At 47.3% G+C, this 19,829-nt stretch overlaps 1 protein-coding gene and 1 long non-coding RNA gene across 25 annotated transcripts in view, besides 2 other annotated features; one reads left to right on the top strand and one right to left on the bottom strand.

The window, feature by feature from the left end:
- PDE9A (phosphodiesterase 9A) overlaps positions 1-19,829 on the bottom strand; it is a 121,889-nt gene that overhangs the window by 32,789 nt on the left and 69,271 nt on the right. For 9 of the 24 annotated variants that reach the window (NM_001001570.2, XM_017028366.2, NM_001001579.2 and 6 more), the window contains one exon: positions 9,295-9,365. In NM_001001570.2, the coding sequence (NP_001001570.1) occupies positions 9,295-9,365 (71 nt within the window). Of the gene's footprint in view, positions 1-9,294; positions 9,366-10,596; positions 10,652-10,771; positions 10,952-18,086; positions 18,166-19,829 lie in introns of all 24 variants that reach the window. The other 15 variants (NM_002606.3, NM_001001583.2, NM_001001582.2 and 12 more) reach the window with 4 other exon arrangements.
- On the top strand, positions 964-9,128 carry PDE9A-AS1 (PDE9A antisense RNA 1). The gene is made up of 2 exons (NR_183525.1): positions 964-1,627; positions 8,039-9,128. It is a non-coding gene; the product is annotated as a PDE9A antisense RNA 1 (long non-coding RNA).
- Positions 2,890-3,890: an enhancer, noted in NCBI's record as "H3K4me1 hESC enhancer chr21:44158941-44159941 (GRCh37/hg19 assembly coordinates)". NCBI's record gives its function as "activates a minimal SCP1, AML or CMV promoter by ChIP-STARR-seq in naive H9 embryonic stem cells {active_cell/tissue: H9 hESC(naive)}" and the evidence as "EXISTENCE:reporter gene assay evidence [ECO:0000049][PMID:30033119]".
- Positions 17,571-18,770: an enhancer, noted in NCBI's record as "P300/CBP strongly-dependent group 1 enhancer chr21:44144061-44145260 (GRCh37/hg19 assembly coordinates)". NCBI's record gives its function as "activates an origin of replication core promoter dependent on BRD2, BRD4, P300/CBP, MED14 and CDK7 cofactors, with strong dependence on P300/CBP, by STARR-seq in HCT116 cells {active_cell/tissue: HCT116}" and the evidence as "EXISTENCE:reporter gene assay evidence [ECO:0000049][PMID:35650434]".

Raw genomic sequence — 19,829 nt, 5'->3', positions numbered from 1 at the left:
GGCTGAGGTGGGCAGATCACGAGGTCAGGAGTTCAAGACCAGCCTGGCCAATATAGTGAAACCCTGTCTCTACTAAAAATACAAAAATTAGCCGGGCATGGTGTGCCAGTGCCTGTAGTCCCAGCTACTCGGGAGGCTGAGGCAGGAGAATAGCTTGAACCCGGGAGGCGGAGGTTGCAGTGAGCCGAGATCACGCCACTGTACTCTGGCCTGGGGGACAGAGTGAGACTCTGTCTCAAAAAAAAAAAAAAAAAAAAAAAAAAGCAGACAGCTTCAACTCCCTATGATTTCCTCCCTGACCAATCAATCAGCATTCCTGGCTCACTGGCTTCCCACCACCCACTAAGTTATCCTTAAAAACTCTGCGCCCCGAATGCTCGGGGAGACTGATTTGAGGAATAATAAAACTCTGGTCTCCCGCACAGCCGGCACTGGGTGAATGGCTCTTTCTCCATTGCAGTTCCCCTGTCTTGATGAATGAGCTCTGTTTAGGTAGCAGGCAGGGTGAACCCCTTGGGCAGTTACAGAGTCCCACTGCAAAGGTGTACCTCAACAGTTAGGATACTATTTTTCAACCAAAAACAAACTGGAGCTTATGCCTCCGAGCGAGCGTTAAACTTCAAGATATTTACCCTTGGCTGACTGCACGTTTACCCCAGAAAAGCTGCCATGAAGCAAGCAGCTTTGCACGGCTTTTCAATTAGAGTTGGTTCATAAACCAATTGAAATAAAAAAGATTAGCTTTGTTACTTTGTAATCACACCTTAGTTTTTATGCAAAAGGATACTCCCACGATACCACTCTATTCCCCTTTTCATGAAGTTTGGCTCTGAATAACTGCTAAAAATAAAAAGCAAATGTTTTCTAAAGGAAAAACCAAGCAACTCAGAGCCTTTGGCTAGTTTGTAACAACTCCTTCCCACCCCAAAGGAAGTACTGCAGCTCCGGAAAGAAACTCTCCCAGTACAGTGGCCCAGGGCAGACTAGCTGGAATCAGCCTCCCGGGTGGGTTTCGAGGCGTTTCCAGGGTCAGGGGTCAAGTAGGGGCATGTTCCCGGGACACTGCTTCTTTCTGCCAGAAGGACGAAGAATCTGGAGAGTGCAATATTTGGATCTGGTCCTGCTGATGTGTTTCTGTGCTACAGAAACCTTCTCCACCCCTCTTCTACCCAACAGCTAGAGGACATGGGGTCCGGAAGTGCATGTGGCTGGAGCCAGTGTGGTCGCTGTCGTGATGGCCGAGTCCAGATGAGCTGCCGCTGGGGAAACACAGGGTACCTGAGGTCTGAGGTCGGGACGTCTTTGTCCAACCACTAAGAGTCCACATTCTCCTTTGGAGCCGGGTCTCCGTTTTCTCCAGCATCATGGGCCCCTCAAGGAAGCTGATGCATGCCACAGGCTGTCTTCTCAGAAAAGGTACCCAAGAACACATTTTGGGTTTGCATGTGGATTGGGAAGCCCAACGTGGCCTCCAGCGGTGCTCCTTGGCTTTGTCTAGACTGCAGGATCCCACCCATGCCCTGTGGATTTGCCACGTGGACACTGACGTGAGCAAATGGACAATTCAACATCAGTGGCAGAAAGGAGCTCAGTCTGGTTCACACGTGGAAGGCAGCACATTCTGAAAGTGAGTAGATCTGGGGAAGGGTTGGGCATGCGGTGTAGACTGCAAACAGGGCAGCTGGGCCCTCTGTCCAAGGTCCATGGACCATTGACTATGTCTTAAATGTCATTTTTCTGAATATAAAATATCCTATTATCATTGTAGGAAGTGTAGGAAATAGCACTTCAAAGAATAATATTTAAAAACTTGTCTAGGATCCTATGGGCCCAGAAAACAACTCAGTTAATATTATTTGTATTAATGTGTGTCCTTCCAGGCTTTCTGCCCACTCCCAGCCTTCTAAATATTCATCCTGTTTATCTATCTATCTATCTATCTATCTATCTATCTATCTATCTATCCTGTTTATCTATCTATCTATCTATCTATCTATCTATCTATCTATCTATCTACTACCTACCTACCTACTGTGTATCTATCCATCCATCCATTTATATACTATCTATCCATCCATTCATCTATGTATCCATTCATCCATCCATCCATCCATCCATCCATCCATCCATCCATCCACCCATCCATCTATGCATTCATCATATTTATGTATCTACCTATGTTCTATTTATCCATCCTATTTTTCTATCCGTTCTATCTCTCTATCCACCCATTCTATGTATCTACCTATCTTTCTTTTCTTTTCTTTTTTTTTTTTTGAGACAGGGGCTTGCCCTGTCACCCAGGCTGGAGTGCAGTGGAACAATCACAGCTCACTGCAACCTTTACCTCCTAGGTTCAAGTGATCCTGCCACTTCAGCCTCCTGAATAACAGGGTCTAAAGGGGTGCACCGCCACACCTGGCTAATTTTTGTATTTTTTGTAGAGATGGGGTTTTGCCATGTTGCCCAGGATGGTCTTGAACTCCTGGGCTAAAGCAATCCTCCTGCCTTCACCTCCCAAAGTGCTGGGGAACCACTTTAGGCATGAGCCACTGCACCCAGCCTCTACCTATCTTTCTATTTACATATCTATATAGTATCTATCTATGTATGTATCTATGTATGTATGTATCTATCTAGCTTCTATCCATCCTGTGTGTGTCTATGTATCTATATATCTATTATTAATTTTAAAAGATAAAATTTGTTGTTTTCTAACTTGCTATTTTCACTCATCAGGAGGTCACGGCCCTTCCCCATGTTAGTGGCTGCTGTCGCAGCTCACGTTTTTCTTTTTATCCCCCGAGGAAAATGCTATTTATCATACTGAGCAGGATAAATAAATACCAAGGGCTTCATGTCAGTTCAGATCACATTTTTGCTGCTAAATGAGTTTGCAACAAACCTATAATTTTTTTCCCATGTCCATACAAGGCTCTGTTTTAAGCCAGCTCATGGTTTTTGATGGGTGCATAGCGTTTGTATTGACAGTGCAGAGTCCACCGAGATCCGCTTCCCTGGCTACCTATTGAGGTGATGTTAAAATTAAGCCTCCTGGGTGACACAGCACAGCTTCACTAGTTTGCATCCCAGAGATGCAGAATTTGTGGCAATTAAGTTTATGAAGAGGCTGTTGGCCAAGTAGATGGATAGTGAGTAACAACATTGCAAAAGTGCATTCCTCAATGAAGAGAAAGCAAGATGCCATGAAATGACGGGGCTGGCGGGGAGGTCTGCAGGAGGAGGCAGAGGTGAGCATGTGGTGGATGTGTGTGCCTGTGTCCCCGGGGGTCCTGCCTCCTCACTCCCTGGCCTTTCCAGGACACCCGGCTGCTTTGGGGAAGATTCCACAGCTCCCCTCTTCGACCCACTGCCAGCCCTGCTCCACCTCAATCCAGAGGGAGGAGCGGGCCAGTCCTGTGGGGCGGGGGGCCTCAAGCCTGAGAGGTCTGCAGACAGCAGCAGGACGGCCCTACCGTGGAGCCTGGACGTCGGCTCTGCCCATCATGGCCCGCTCCTCTGCCTTCAAACGCTGAACACAGGCGGGCACAGACCACGCACCACAAACCAAAGCAGAGGCTCCCTGGCCCACTGGACCCTGCTAGGGGGCTGGGAGCCCAGCCCACGGCTGCCTGTTATTCCCGCTGACCAGGTGTGGACCCTAGGACATGCCTGTGTGTGGGGCTAGTATTATCTGGAAACCCCGGGCTGTCCTCTTAAAAGGACTGTAGGCCGGGCGCAGTGGCTCATGCCTATAATCCCAGCACTTTGGGAGGCCAAGGCAGGTGGATCACCTGAGGTCAGGAGTTTGAGACCAGCTTGTCCAGCCAACATAATGAAACCCCGTCTCCACTAAAAATACAAAAATTAGCCAGGCGTGGTCACAGGCTGCCTGTAATTCCAGCTACTCTGGGGGCTGAGGCGGGAGAATCACTTGAACCCGGGAGGTGGAGGTTGCAGTGGGCCAAGATCACACCACTGCACTCCACTGCATTAAAGTGAGACTCTGTCTCAAAACAAAACAAAACAGCAACAAAAAAGGGCTTTGAAAGAGATTTTTGTGAGCTTCTACAAGTCACAGGCCACCTGCAGGAAAAACTAAGGGTGATTTTCTGACAGACGCTGGCTTTGGGGAAATCGTCCTGGCAGGTGGGGAAGAGCTGAGCTGGGGGTCAGAGAGAGCCGAGCCGGAGGGTGGGGAGAGCCGAGCTGGGGGTCGGGGAGAGCTGAGCCGAGGCTCAGGAGGCTCTGTGCTGTGCTCCTTCCCCAGCCTCACTGTGCTCCAGCAAGAGGCCGGGAACCTGGCAGGCCCAGTCCTTTGGCTACAGAGCTAGTGAAAGCTGTTTAAAGACATGTATGAATAGAGTTGTGTTTCAACACTTCCTCCAGGAGCCTCACTAAAGAGCCCGCGTAGAGCACACTTCCGGAGTGACAGAGAAAAGCAAGGCTTGGTTCTAGCATCCAGGCTCTGGGCTGTTTGTATGGCCTGTGTTAAACTTTGCCCCAGCCGGTCAGCTCCTGCCACGGCCCACGCTGTGTTTAGGTTTTGGTCCAAGCCCAGAGCACAGGGACAAAGGGTGGATGGAGCAGAGCTGCCCTGTGCCCTGGCCACAAACCAGGAAGGAAGGGAGTAAAGGGCCCTGCTTTAAAATCTCTTTTTAATGTTTCACCTCCAGCCAGGACATGAGGGGAGGAGCCTGGGTGTTCTGTTTACAAAATAATCCGTAACGTAAGGGAAATCCCAGATCTCTCGAACAAGGCTAAACTTTGTATATCAAAAGGAAGAAGAGCTTTGAAAGTCAATGAGGAGAAATGAAGAAATTTATATTCAATTCAGAGGAATTATACATTTAAGAAGAAGCAGGAAATTCCATTTAAGACAAGTCCACCACAATATAATATGGCCTTAAGGTGGCCAGTTCTAGTGGATGAATCCTTTAACTCAAGAGGCAGAAAACAGCTTGGCCGGGCACAATGGCTCACGCCTGTAATCTCAGCACTTTGGGAGGCCGAGGCGGGTCGATCACCTGAGGTCAGGAGTTCGAGACCAGCCTGGCCAACATGGCGGAACCCCATCTCTACTAAAAATACAAAAATTAGCCGGACATGGTGGCGGGCAGCTATAATCCCAGCTACTTGGGAGGCTGAGACAGAAGTGTCCTGTCTTCGGGGGGCAGAGGTTGCAGTGAGCCAAGATCACGCCACTTCTCTCTAGCCTGGGCCAAAGAGCAAAACTCCGTCTCAAACAACAACAAAAACAAGACAAGACAAAACAAAACAGCTCACAGCAGCTCATGTATAGCAGAAGCAGCTGTGTGTGCGCATGTGTGGGTATGTGATCATATATATGAATGTATCTGCACGTGCCTGGGTGCTTACACGTGTGCATGTATATGTGACATCCTGACATGCCTGTGTGATTTCACATGTGTATATGTGAGTGCATGTGCACCTTTCTCTGTTTGTGTTTATATGTGTGTGTGCATATGTAGATGGGAGCATCTGCCTCTGGCCCAGGCCCTGTGCATCGGGGTGTCGGACCAGGCTCCTGGCCGCCTTCCCCATCTGGCTAGCTTCTGGCAGCCGTGCAGGGTTGGGACTGACCTTCTGAGAAGCTGGGCGCGCACCTACCCAGTGGCCTGCGTGAGAGGTTCAGCTGCAGGCCCTCTCCTCAAAAGGACTTTCCGTTTCTGCCCTCCAAGCTTCCTAAAATGTCTGGGCTCTTGCATCTTTGGGTTAAGGCTCTGCTGCCCTTGTAGTGTCTCTGGAACTCAGAATCTCTGGGGCTCAGCACAGGTGCAGCATCCTGGCCACCTCCCGCTAAAGCACATCCGCTGGAGAGTGGGGAGCCATCAGCCAGAAGTGCCCGGGGAGGATGAGCCCAAAGCCAGGTGGAGTTCAGGAGGAGGACAGCCTGTCTGGACATGGCTGCCTCCTGGGGTGGGGGTGTGAGTTGCATGCCAGGGGAGGAGGGCAGCCAGGAGGACTGAGGAGAGTCCCCCCTGACCTCACCCAAGCCCCTCCCTTACCCTCCACAACTCCTAGACTGTTCCTCCTTCTCTACTCCTTAGAGAGGTGAGCTCCCTCAATCCCATTTCTGCAGTCCTAGGTCTCTGGTGCTAGAAATCAGTACAACTAGTCACAACCGGTTTTACCCATAGAAGCGCCAGGAATTTTGGTCAGTGCAGTGAGCCTGAGCTCGGTGGGTCAAGAGCGGTGTCCTTTTCCAGGCCATCTATGTGCATTTACTGAGGGTTTTATGGGAAGATGCTTCCCTCTGAGAAGTGAGAAATTTTGGAGAATTCCGCAGCCAGAACAGGCTAGGGGGGAAGGTCCTATGGGCCATTTCCTTCAGTGGTCTTCGACTCACCTGCCACTTGCAGGTAAAATAGGAACACTTTTCTTCTGGCTTGATGGTTATTTTCCAGGGTCAGTTATTCAAAGACACACAGGGTTACTATTCATCTTGTTGTGGGCGACATAATTCTCTGTAAGAGTTTTGAGAGTTACGACATGGCCTCTTCAACTTGCCTGTTTGCACTTTCCGGGAAGAGCATGGGGGGAGCTGGCACTGGCTTCCAGGTGGGGCGTAGGAGATGGGGAAGGCTGAGGAAAAACCCAGGTGCTGGAGAGAGGAGGAGAGGTGGGAGGCACCTGCTGCCCGCGGGCATCTGCACACTCGCCCCGTAGTGACTGCGTGGCTTTTTGTGTCCGTAAAGAGGGGTGGGGACTCTGCAGCAAGCCTTTTTTGCATGCTTTGGCTCAAACCCCTACCCAAGTTTGGAGAATTCCCTGCGACATGGGGCTTGGTGGAGAGCTGAGCCAGCCTCCCAGTGCAGAATATGGAAATGCAAACACTCGCTGTGGTGGGTTGAATTGTGTCCTCCAGAAAGATCTGTTCACAACCTACTCCCTGGAACTTGTGAATGGGACCTTATGTAGAAAAAGGTCCTTGGCAGATATAATCCATTAGGGATCTGGAGATGGGCCCATCCTGGATTTAGGTTGGGCCCTAAATTCAAAGAGAGGCATCTTTATAAGACCTAGCTGAGAGAGACTGTTGACATGGAGACATCCTGGGAGAATGTCATCACGTGTAGACACAGGCAGAGATTATAGCAATGTAGCCTTCCAAGCTCAGGAACGGTAAGGATTGCTGGGAACCACAAGGTTCTAGGAGACAGGCATGGAACCAGGGCCCCTCAGAGCCTCCAGAAATAGCCAGTCATGCTCATGCCTTGATTTCTGACTTCTGGCCTGCAGAGCTGTGAAAGAGTCAGTTTTTGATGCTTAAGCCTCCCAGTCTGTGGTGCTTTGTGAGGCAGCTTCAGGATACTCACAGCCTCCCTTCGTGGGGCCTGCCTTGCAGCTAGACCTTGGGTGCGCGGCCTGGCTCTGTCTAGATTTTGAACCTGTAGCCAGTGACATGGAGAAGCAGCCTGATATCTGCATAAGTGGTTGTGGAGCCTCCGGGGGACCTAGGTCCAGAGTGAGGAGTACAGGGGAGCTGGTGCCGCATCTGGGGCTCAGAGACGGCAGCACAGGCATCCGCACAGCATCAGCTCTGCACGGGATTTGGGGAATTGTTGCTGCTGCACAACCTCTGAGCCCTGTTCCCAAGCCTTCCTGGGGATCTGGGGAAGCTTCCCAAAATCCTTTAGGGAAAAACTCCTTTTCTGTTGAAAGCAGCCACGATCAGTTTCTGTTGCTTGCAGCTTTAGCTTTCTAACCTGCGTTATCAAGGAATCCTCATGGAGTGCCTGGTCCTCTTCAGCCAGGTGTGCAGGGAAGTGACTCGTTCCAGAAGGGCAGGTAGCAGGCCGTGACAGCAGCCCGGCCAGGACCCTGGGTGCCAGTCCCAGCTTTATTTATTTTTCTAATTTGCTGAGTGAACTTGAGGTTACCTAACCTCTCTGTGGCTTCCTCGTTGACAATGGGGAAAATGAAACTGTCTTGAAGATCCAGTGACCACATACATTTTTAGAAATGTCAACACACTTTGAAAAGTATAAATCTGACTATGTAAATCATGTTTCAGGAGAATCACTTGAACCCAGGAGGCGAAGGTTGCATTGAGCCAAGATTGTGCTATTGCACTCCAGCCTGGACAACAGAGCAAGACTCTGTCTCTCAAAAAAAGAAAAAGAAAAGCGACGACATTCAGTCAATCAGCCAGATATTTTTGGTGATGCTGCAACTCTTAATGGTATCCTGTCTGGATTCTGTTTATTTAGTTCCTAAGTTGGTAAATACAGTGCCTGTTAATCATTAACCTTTGCCTTGTCATTGACAAAGAGTTCACTTGTCAAGCTGTGAGTGGAACACAGAATTGTGAGGCCTATGGAATTCAAGCATTGATCTTGATATTATGGATGAGGACAAAAAGGGTGGGTGACTTGAAGCTGTTTTCTTCCCAGAATTTGAGCTTTGTGATCATTGAATCAGGACTTGAATCGACACTCCTTGGCTCCCTAGTCCTTTTTCTGCTTTTCCTTTGGTGGTGATTGGAGGCTGTAGTAGGCTGTTCTTCTGTTGCTATAAAGAGATACCTGAGGCTGGGCAATTTATAAGCAAAAGAGGTTTGATTGGCTCCCAGTTCTGTGGGCTTTACAGGAAGCCTGGTGCCGGCATCTGCTTGGCTCTTGGGGAGGCCTCGAGAAGCCTCCAATCATGGTGGAAGGCAACGGAGAAGCAGGAGGGTAGAGAGATGCCACGTGCTTTTAAACAACCAGATCTTGCGAGAACTCACTATCTCAAGGAGAGCACCAAGCCATTTAGGAGGCATCTGCCTGGTGACCCAAACACCTCCCACCAGCCCCACCTCCAACATTGCGAATGACATTTCAACGTGAGATGTGGAGGGGACATCCAGACTGTATCAGAAACCAAGAGATAACAACTTAGTAGACATATTCCAAAAAATTATGACCCACAGGGTGCCGATCAGTGTGCAGAGAATGTCTTCATTTACACACAAAAAGACACAGACAAGACACTCAGCAGAGGTTCTCAGAGGGGCTAAGTGCGGAAGGCTTCGTGTGTTCATTTTTATTCTTTGGGGCTGAAAGAATGCTTTATACCATGAGCTGTGCTTCTTTTAAAATAGAAATAAAATGCTTAGTTAGTCACTGTGCTAGCCTTTGTTAACATCAAAGGTAATTTTCAAGTATTTCACAAAGAAAAGACATTTATTTGTATTTACCTTCGGCACTGAACTCCTCCCCGTTCCAAGTGGTTAATTTGAATAGAGGTTAAAGGACAGAGAAGCAAAAAGGAAACAGAAACGTCACTCACATTCCACGCGTTTCTCTAGGACAGCCAAGTGATTTGCAACTTCAGCTTTCAGTTCATTGATTTTGAATGCTCTAGGAATGAAAAAGAAAAGAGAGAGTAAATATGACCCTTAAAATTCTCAGAGCCAAAACCGGTTAAGCAAACACCTACTGAGTCCCTGCTGTGGGCATGGGCAAGGCCTCTAGGTGGGCTGGTGAGGGTCTGAGGTGCCAACATGCTAGGACTTGCTTTTCAGAAATCATCATGTCCCATGGGGAGGAAAGAATCACCAAAGTATCATGAGGTGTATTTTCTGGGCTGGTTGGGCATATTTACTTCTTCGGGCCTGAGCAGTGGACCCAAGCTCTCTGGGGTGGACACATGGCCCTCTCTCTGCTCATGCAGTTGAGATGGTCCAGTCCCCGCACCTTCCCCTGATGGGCACAGACACCTTCGGAGGACCTGTTGTGCTCTCTGGAGGCTCCAACCCAGTCAGTTAAACAATTCAAAGGTTTTTTTGTTTTGTTTTGTTTTTTGAGACAGAGTGTCACTCTTGCCCAGGCTGGAGTGCAGTGGCGTGATCTCGGCTCACGGCAACCTCCACCTCCCGGGTTCAAGTGATTCTCCTGCCTCAGCCTCCCGGGTAGCTGGGATTACAGGCATGTGCCACCACGCCCGGCTAATTTTGTATTTTTCGTAGAGACGGGGTTTCTCCATGTTGGTCAGGCTGGTCTTGAACTCCCGACCTCAGGTGATCTGCCCGCCTCCGCCTCCCAAAGTGCTGGGATTACAGGCGTGAGCCACCGCACCCGGCCAATTCAAAGGTTTTTAAAAAATCCCACCCGTCTGTGCTTTTCACTATTTTAATTAACCTGGGCAGTAAGACGCCACAGAGAAGTCAGTTTGAGAAATGGAAAATACGGTATCCAGGTCAGGATTGTTGGGATGACTCCGATGAAAAGGAAGTCTCCTAACTACACAGAAGCTCAGCGAGGAAGCTTATTTTCCAGTGGAGCCAATTCTTATAGCTTGTTCTCCCATCCCAGAAGAGCCGGTGGAGAACATTCTCGACCTCACGAGCTCACATTCTAATGCACCCACTCAACATGGTCTTTGGTCTAAGGTGAGCGTTTCCTGGGCCCCATCCAAGCTGGCTTAGTTACAGAAGCCACAGAAGGCTTCCACCGTGCGGGCAGCTCCTCCAGGCAGGTGAGACAGCCACGCTTGCCGGCCAAGGCCAGCCTCAGAGCCTGGGGCCTGCCCTCGCTCTTAGAGAAAGATGTGCCCATCTCTGGCTGGTTGTAAGTTTAGAAGACTCTGTACCTTGAGAACTGCTCTGCAACCTGCGCCAGCACGCTCTGGATTAATTCTTCTCTCTCTACAAACCAAAGAAGAAAGACAGATGGAACACGGACAAGAGGAAAAGATGTGTAGGCCATTGCAGCCCGAATCCCACGTGTTGGGGGGTGGAGGCTGTGGCCGAGGAGCTGCCCGTTACCTGGAGGGATGCGCTGGCCTTCCTGGTAGCAGCCCTGGGGCTCTCTGGGCCTGGGCTCTACCTGTCCACTTTCAAATGCTCCTTCCCTCCGGGGCTGCTCCAGGCCCACAACCCGTCTGTCCCTCAGTGGTCTCTCAGCAGACTGGCCACGGCTTGTGGTTCTCTTGTCCTCGACACCAGCTATAAAAAGCAGGCAGGACTGGGTTTCCAAATATGGGAAGTTTCCTCTTAGTGTCCAGGTCTATTTTATGGGGGCAATTACTGGGACAAAGTGAGTGCAAGGCACGTCTCAATTCAGAACACGGTGTTCTCACGGCGGGTCTGCACGGGGGAGGCAGGCCTGGGTCCAGCCGGTTGCTCCCTTTGTTGCCTGGCCTGTAAAACTGGGCTGGGTGGCTGGCTTTACAAGGTCCAGGTCCCAGGCTCAATGGAACCTGCTTGTCTTCCTGTTTCCTGACCAGGCTCAATGCCAGATACCTCACAGGAAGGTGTGGATGCTCACAGCGCTGTCCTTGTCAGCAAGGTGACATTCTAAGGAAGGGAGCGGTCTCTACCTGGCTCCAGCCATCCTCTAGCTCATGCCCCAGAACACCGAGAGCCCACACCAGGCTTAGTCATAAGTTTACGTCATCTTCTATGTTGATTTCATGTCTAACCCTCCACTATAAACAAAACAAATAAAACCAAAGCTGCGCTGGGCGCAGTGGCTCACGCCTGTAATCCCAGCACTTTGGGAGGCCGAGGCAGGCAGATCACCTGAGGTCGGGAGTTCGAGACCAGCCTGACCAACATGGAGAAACCCCGTCTCTACTAAAAAATACAAAATTAGCCAGGCATGGTGGTGCATGCCTGTAATCCCAGGTACTCGGGAGGCTGAGGCAGGAGAATCACTTGAACCTGGGAGGCAGAGGTTGCGGTGAGCTGAGATCGTGCCATTGCACTCCAGCCTGGGGAACAAGAGCGAAACTCCATCTCAAAAGAAAACAAAAAAACAAAACCAAAGCTGCCCAAACAAACAAAAAATTTCAAGAATCCAACTTGGCAATGGGGCTCAGAAGCTAAAAATGTTCACAAGCACTGACCCAGGGTCCCATTTCTAGGAAATCATCATGCATGTACACAAAAGATATTCATCACAGTGTTATTTAACACAGAGAAAACTGTCACAACCTGCACGCCCACCCAATGGAGACTCATTAAATAAATGATGAGAAAACTGTATCATCAGACATATATCTGGAATGATATTTTGCTATTAGAAATAATATTTTGAAAAATGTTCATGTCTGTTGTTAAAGTACAAAAAAAAGATTTTAAAGCAGTCATAGAGAGTGATCCTGCTTTTGAAAACATATTGGGAGAGTATACTCCAAAATAAAAATAGTAGTCATCTTTGGTTATAAGTTTTATATAAATTTTATTTAAAAATGTTTGCTTCCCTCTATCTTATGCATTTCCCCTTTTTCTTATGCATTTTCTATAATTAACGTATATTAATTTCATTTAAAAAATTAAAAAAAACTAATCAGTTTAACTTCGCAACACCTCATTGCTTCACCTGTCAAACGAGAGGGTAGACCAGATCACCCTAGATTCCCGCTGCCTTTAGCATTCTATGACTTGATAAGAAGAAGAAAAATGATGTTTTGTTATATTTCTTGAAGGTACAAGCGTAAAAATGTCAGCCAGAAAATTTTCATACAGCCATAGGTTGAACTGGTGCGAGCTCAAGGCCCTCACCTTAAGAAAGGCCCACACCTACTAGTGGGGGAAGATGGCTCCCATCAACAAGAATCATCATAGGGTTTTACAGGCCACTTGGTGAACTCAGCAGGGGTTTAGATCACTTAGGAATTGTCTGGAAAAGGTAGCGTATCACATAACCTTTGAGAGTAAATGATCTCAGAGTCTTGAGATAAATTTAGAAGTCCATCAAATGATGAATATTTACAGACCACTTCACCCAACAGCAGCAGAGTGCTATGTTCATTTCAGGCACCTACAGAGCATGTACCAAGATTGACCATATCCTGGGCTATACAGGAAATCTCACCCAATCTAAAGGAACTGAGGCTATACAGAGCATGTCCTCTGACCACACGAGGATCAAAGTAGAAATCAATAACAGAAAGATAGCAGACAAATCTCCAAACACGTGGAAACTTAACAACACACTTCTAAATAACTTAAGGGTCAAAGAGGAAGTCTCAAGGGAAAATTAAAAAGACATTGAACTCAATAAAAATGAAAATACAACACAAAACTTAGCTGTGGGACATGACTAAAGCAATGCTGAGAGGGAAATTTATAGCACTATGGGCTTTCATTTGAAGAGAGGAAAAATCTCAACTCAATAAGCCAAGATCCCACCATGAGCACCCAGGAAAAGAAGAGCAAAGTAAACCCACAATGATAGCAAAGGAAGGAAGGAGGGAAATCACAAAGATAGGGGAATAGAAATCCCGGTAACAGAAAACAGAAAAACAATGCAGAAAATCAACAAAACAGAGCTAGGTATTTGAAAATAAGAAATTGTCAAACTTCTAGCAAGACTGACAAAGAAACAATTAGAGGGAAGACACAGACTGTCAATATCAGGAATGAAAGAGGGAACATCACTACAGACCCTGCAGACATCAAAAGGATAATACGGGAACACTACAAATGCCTCTACACACATAACTCTGACATCTTCAATAAAATGGACCAACTCCTAGAGAAGCATGAGGTACTACAACTCATTCAATATCAAACAGGTAATTTAAACAACCTATAGCAAAAGTCAATTTGTAATTTAAAAACTCCCCAAAACGAAATGTCCAGGCCAAGATGGTTCTAAACATTTATAGAGAATTCTACCAAATGTTTAAAAAGTCAACATGATTCTAACAATATCTTCAAGAAAACAGAAGAGGAGGGAACACTACCATTCTTTTTTTTTTTTTTTTTTGAGACTGAGTCTCACTCTGTCCCCCAAGCTGGAGTGCAGTGGTATGATCCCAGCTCTCTGCAGCCTCCGCCTCCTGGGCTCAAGTGATTCTCTGCCTCAGCCTCCTGAGTAGCTGGGATTATAGGTGCCCGCCACTAAGCCAGGCTAATTTTTTGTATTTTTAGTAGAGCCGGGGTTTTAGCATGTTAGCCAGGCTGGTCTTGAACTCCTGGCCTCAAGTGATCTGCCTGCCTTGGCCTCCCAAAGTGCTGGGATTACAGGTGTGAGCCACTGCACCTGGGCCCCATTCATTTTATGAAGTTGGTATTACCCTGATACCAAATGCAGACAAGGAAAAACAACAAAAAGAAAACTACATGCCAACATCCCTCATGAATATAGATACAAAAATCACTAATGAAATAGCAAGTAGAATTCAGTAATAGATAAAAATAATTGCATATCAAGATTTAGTGGGGTTTATTCTGGGGATATAAGGTTGGCTCAATATTTGGGAACCAATCAATGTAGTCTCCAATCAACAGGCTAAAGAAGAAAAATTACATGATCATATTAACTAATTCATAAAAAACATCTGACAAAATTCAACACATGTTCATGAGAAAACTCTCATAAAATTAGGAATGGAGGAGAACTTCTTCAAGTTGATTAAAAGCATCAACCATAACCTTACAGCCAATATTATACAGTTGTTCCTTGGTGTCTCTGAGGGATTGGTTCCAGGACTCCCCACAAGGATGCCAAAATCCAAGGATGCTCAAATTCCTTATATAAGATGGTATAGTATTTGCATATAACCTATGCACATCCTCCCGTACACGCTACATCATCTCTAGATTACTTAGAATACCTAATACAATGTAAATGTTATGTAAAGAGTTGCTATACTGTACTGTTTACTAATTTGTATTGTTTTTCTTGTTTTTAAAACATTTCTGATCAGCGGTTGGTTGGATATATGGATATGGAACACACAGATACAGAAGAGCCAACTGTACTTAATGGTGAAAAACTCAGTGCTTGGTGTCTAAGACTGTCACAAGGCAAAGCTGTCTGCTCTCACTGCTGCTAATTAACATAGTGCTGGGAGTCCTAGCCAGTGCAATAGGCAAGAGAAGGAAATAAAAGGCAAACAGATTAGAAAGGAAGAAAGAAAACTGTCCTTGTTTGCCAATGACATGTTGTCTACATAGAAAACCCCAATGAATCTACAAACAACAACAACAAAAAAACACAACCCTCCTAGAACTAAGAAGCGAGTTTAGCAAGTTTGCAGGGTGGAAAGCATACAAAATTCAATTGTATTTACTACAATTGTATATACTAGCAATGATCATGTAGACACTGAAATTATAAATAAAATACCAGCCACACATAGTGGCACATGCCTGTAATCCCAGCACTTTGGGAGGTCGAGGTTGGAGGGTTGCTTGAGCCCAGGAGTTTGAGACCAGCCTGGGGAACAAAGAGAGATCTCCATCTCTACAAAAAAAAAAAAAAAAAAAAAAAATAGCCAGGCGTGGTGGCATGTGCCTGTGGTTCCAGCTACTCAGGAGGCTGAGGTGGGAGGATTGCTTGAGCTTGGGAGGTTGAGGCTGTAGTGAGCCACGATCATGCCACTGCACTCCAGCCTCAGGGACAAAGACCCTGTCTCAAAAACAAACAAACAAACACCAGTACCATTTACAGTCACTCAAAAATGCCCCTAGGTGTCAAACTGACAAAACATATGCAGAAGTTGTATGTTGAAAACTACAAAACATTCATGAAAGAAATCAAAGAAGATATAAACAAATGGCAAGACTGACCATGTTAATGGGTTGGAAGACTCAACATAGTAAATTCTCCCCACATAGGTAAACAAGTTTTACACAATTCCCATTGAAAGCCTAGCAAGACTTTTTTTTTTTTTTTTTTTTTTTGTAGAAATAGAGATTATTCTAACATTTAGATAGGGAAAGGATTCACAAGAATAAAAACAATTTTGAAAAACAACAGACAAAATGAGAGGAATCAGCCTATCTTATTTTTGAGACTTATGACATAATTTCGGTAATCAAGACTGTGAGGTACTGGCAGAAAGACAGACAGGTAGAGCAATGGAAAGAAACAGAGGGCCTATGACCATGTCCATACAAATACGCCCAACTGATTTTTGACCCAGATGTAAAAGCAATTCAACAGAGAAAAGAAAGCTTAGCAATGACCATGTAGACACTGAAATTATAAATAAAATACCAGCCACACACAGTGGCGCATGCCTGTAATCCCAGCACTTTGGGAGGTCGAGGTTGGAGGATTGCTTGAGCCCAGGAGTTTGAGACCAGCCGGGGAACAAAGAGAGATCTCCATCTCTACAAAAAAAAAAAAAAAAATATATATATATATATATATATATATATATATGGCCAGGCGTGGTGGCATTCAGTAATAGTGTTGGAAATAGTGTTTCAGTAGTGTTGGAAAAATTAGATATCCGCAGGCCAACAAGAAAAAGAGCCTTGACCTAGAATTCAGTTTATATAAAAATCAATGCAAAGTGGACCACAGATGTAAAACATGAAACTATAAAACACAGAGAGAAGATAGGAGAAATCTTCAGGGTCTTCGGTAAGGTGGGGAGTTCTTAGACTTGACAGCAAAAACACAAACCAGAAAAAGAAAAATGGATAGACTGGACTTCATCAAAATGAAAATTTTCGCTCAGAGAAAGATCCTGGTAAGAGGATGACAAGACAAGCTACGGTGTGGCAGAAAATATTTGCAAGACACGTATCTGACAAAGACTTGCAGATAGCATGTATAAAGAATGGTCAAAACTCAATGGTAGAAAACAAAACCAGCCAACTTGAAAGCGGGCAAGAGATGAGCAGATGGGTACTGGAGAAAGTCACAGATGGAAAGAAGCCCATGAAGAGATGCTGAGAGCCACTCGGCCATTAGGAAATGCCAGTTACAACCACAGTGAGACACCACTGCACACCTATCAAAATGGCTGGGATACAAAATAATGCCAACCCCCGTGGAAACACGGCTCACTCACTCGTGGCTGGTGGGAATGAAAAATGGTACAGTCATTCTGAAAACAGTCTGGTAGGTTCTTCAAAAGACAGAAAAAACCAACTAAAGATGCAAGCACCAGGGCAGAGAGATGATGTACGCGGAGAACTGATGTTCACACAAAGGCCTGTCCACATGTTCCTGGCGGATGTATTTGTAGTAGTCCCAAATGCAAACGATGCAGATGCCTTTCAAGGGAGAATGGTTGAACCAACCGTGGTCCATCCATACCGCGGAGTATGACTCAGAAAGAAGGGAATGAACCACGGATATAGGCGACAACCCGGATGGATGCCAGGGGGTTGTGCTGGGTGGAAGGCGCCAATCCCAAAGTCACCTACTGCATGATTACATGTGTAGAACGTTACAGAATTGACAACATCATACAAATAGAGACCAGAGGCCGGGCATGGTGGATCATGCCTGTAATCCCAGCACTATGGGAGGCTGAGGTGGGTGGATCACCAGAGGTCAGGAGTTCGAGACCAGCCTGACCAACATGGAGAAACCCCGTCTGTACTGAAAATACAAAATTAGCCAGGCATGATGGTGCATGCCTGTAATCACACCTACTCAGGAGACTGAGGCAGGAGAATCGCTTGAACCCTGGAGGCGGAGGTTGTGGGGTGAGCCGAGATTGTGCCATTGCACTCCAGCCTGGGCAACAAGAGCGAAACTCTGTCTCAAAAAAAAAACAAAAACAAAAACAAAAAAGAGAGAGACCTCTTGGTTGCCAGGGGACAGGGATCCAGTGGGGAATGGAAGGGAAGCAGCGTGGCTATTAAAGAGCGGCAGGTGGGATCCTTGTGGGGGACGCCATGTTCCGGATCTGGACCGTGTCACGGTCAATGCCAGGCTGTGACATTGTGCTAGAGTTTTGCAAGATGTCACCACTGGGAGAAACCGGGCCATGAGTGGGCTTTCTCTGCATGCATCATTACAGCAGCGTGTGAACCTATCCTTGCTTCAAAATAAGAAATGTATAGACAGAATGGAATAACAGTTAAGGAAGAGTTTTCCTTTGGACTTTGGAGATGGAACCCTTTGAGCACGACAGGATTTGTGTGGCTACATCTAATTTCGAGCACAAGCAGCTGTCATGTTTCATGCCACTCTGTCCACACCTTCTGTGGTGTGCTCAGTTCAGTGCTGGGGCAGATGCTGGTATCCTGGTCTGTCATAGCCACACCTCGGCCAATGCGCCACCCAGGCCAGCATGTCAGCTATTCTCAGGAAGGGTACAGACACAAAGCTGCGCTCCCAGTGAGAACACTCCAGGGGCACTGCCCAGGTGGTGGTACTTACACCGATGGAATATATGTGACTCAGCACAGTGGGCTCACGGAACCGCCTCTTTAGATAATGCAAAATCTGCATTCTTTTGCTGGGGGAAAGAAGCAAAACCACCAGTGTGCACAAAGGCCAACCACACCCACGCATCCACAAACAGAGCCCTGATCAGGAAGTGGGTGCCTCCTCTCCTGACCCTAGAATCATTGGAATTCCTGCTGTGGCCACAGTTTCCTCCCAGGGGAGTTCAGAACTTAAAACAACTGTGATTTCATGCATGTCAAGTGCTCAGGACAGCACCAGCCCAGCCCTGGCCACGTAAGCCCTGCCTGCCTCTGCTATTGCTGTTGGCATTATTAGTGTTTCCGCATCACGGATGCCCACTGAGGGCCCCAGTTTTCCTCTGACCTCCCCTTCCTGCTTCCACCACCTTCCCTGGGGTGTCATCATCCTTGGGGTGACAGGGTGCGCTCCGGGCACCACCTCCAGGCTGTGAAGGGGTGAATCCCACCTGCACCACCTGAATGTGGCCTTACCCCCTCTAGCACCTCTGGAATCCTCAGAGAGCCTGAAACCGCTGGATTCTGGGGGCAACAAACAGTTTTCAATTGCAAATGTTCATCCTTCCCAACCTTCGTGGCAAAATCACCTTGTGTCAGCCAAATTTGATATTATGTGTGACACCTCCCTCTTTTTCCTAAATGCTGCAGGACGTATAATGAATTTTAAAAATTAAAGCCTATTCAAGTCATTTCACGTTGATAGTGTCTTAATAGTTTTAAGAAAACCCAGCAATGGCCTGGGATGCTGGTAATTCACAGGGGGACATGACAGGGTCTTTAGGGTCCCTCTGGACCTGGAAGTTTTTGAGCAAATCGGGAGATTGCAAATAAGCCCCCGAGGGAGGGGGAGTCAGCATTAACTCTCGCTGATCCATGTGATGGAAACCTAGGGAGAGCAAGCTGATATTCACAGACAACTCACATGTTCTCCAAAGGAAGCTGTCCCCCAAGAACAACCAATAGAATATCTAAAAGTGCCCCCGAGTCTGCATGCTAGAGTGGATTTCATGGTGCTGCTCCAAGCTGATGGGGATTTACCTCTAGATACCATGACTTTCATAAAGGCAGAAGATTTGACTACACCAAGGATCAATCAGTTGTAATGACAGGTTTAGGTAGGCTCCTCTTCAGCCTCAACTCCTGGCTGCTTCTCATCTGCACACACCTGGACTCAATGAAGTGTGCTCACCTGGGTGCTAAGTCCTGCTGGCCTCCTCACTTGATAAGCACATGCAGGGAATGCTGGCCGGGGCTGGCAGAATTGTTTGCATGTCATAGGAGACTTTAGGTTTGTTCCAGGGCAATCCTGGAGTCCAGCAGATTCTCCGGGTCCTGTTTTTAGATGCTGCCGGATCAGGTCCGCTTTGGGCCATGGGTTTGCAGCAGAGGGGCCCAGGCCCTGCCCACTTGACAGAACCAAGGGTACTGGAATGAAGCAAACCTCTAGAGGGACCAAGGAGGGGCCTATGGGCTGCCAGCCTCATTCCTGGGCAGGACGCAGCTGTGTGGGTGGCAGGATGGACACCCTGCCTCATGGTGTTCACACGGCTGCCTCCGTGTTCACGGGTGTCCAGGGCAGGGGCTGCCCCCACCCCACACGATGCCCAGAAGCCATTGCCTGACTCCTCCTTGGTCTGAGTGGATAGTTCAAGCCTCTGCCTCGCCCACTTCTTCCAGGAATTGTTTACTTGTTTCA

Source organism: Homo sapiens, chromosome 21 (assembly GCF_000001405.40).
Source record: "Homo sapiens chromosome 21, GRCh38.p14 Primary Assembly".
NCBI lineage: Eukaryota > Metazoa > Chordata > Mammalia > Primates > Hominidae > Homo > Homo sapiens.
This window is presented reverse-complemented; position numbering and strand designations above follow the sequence as displayed.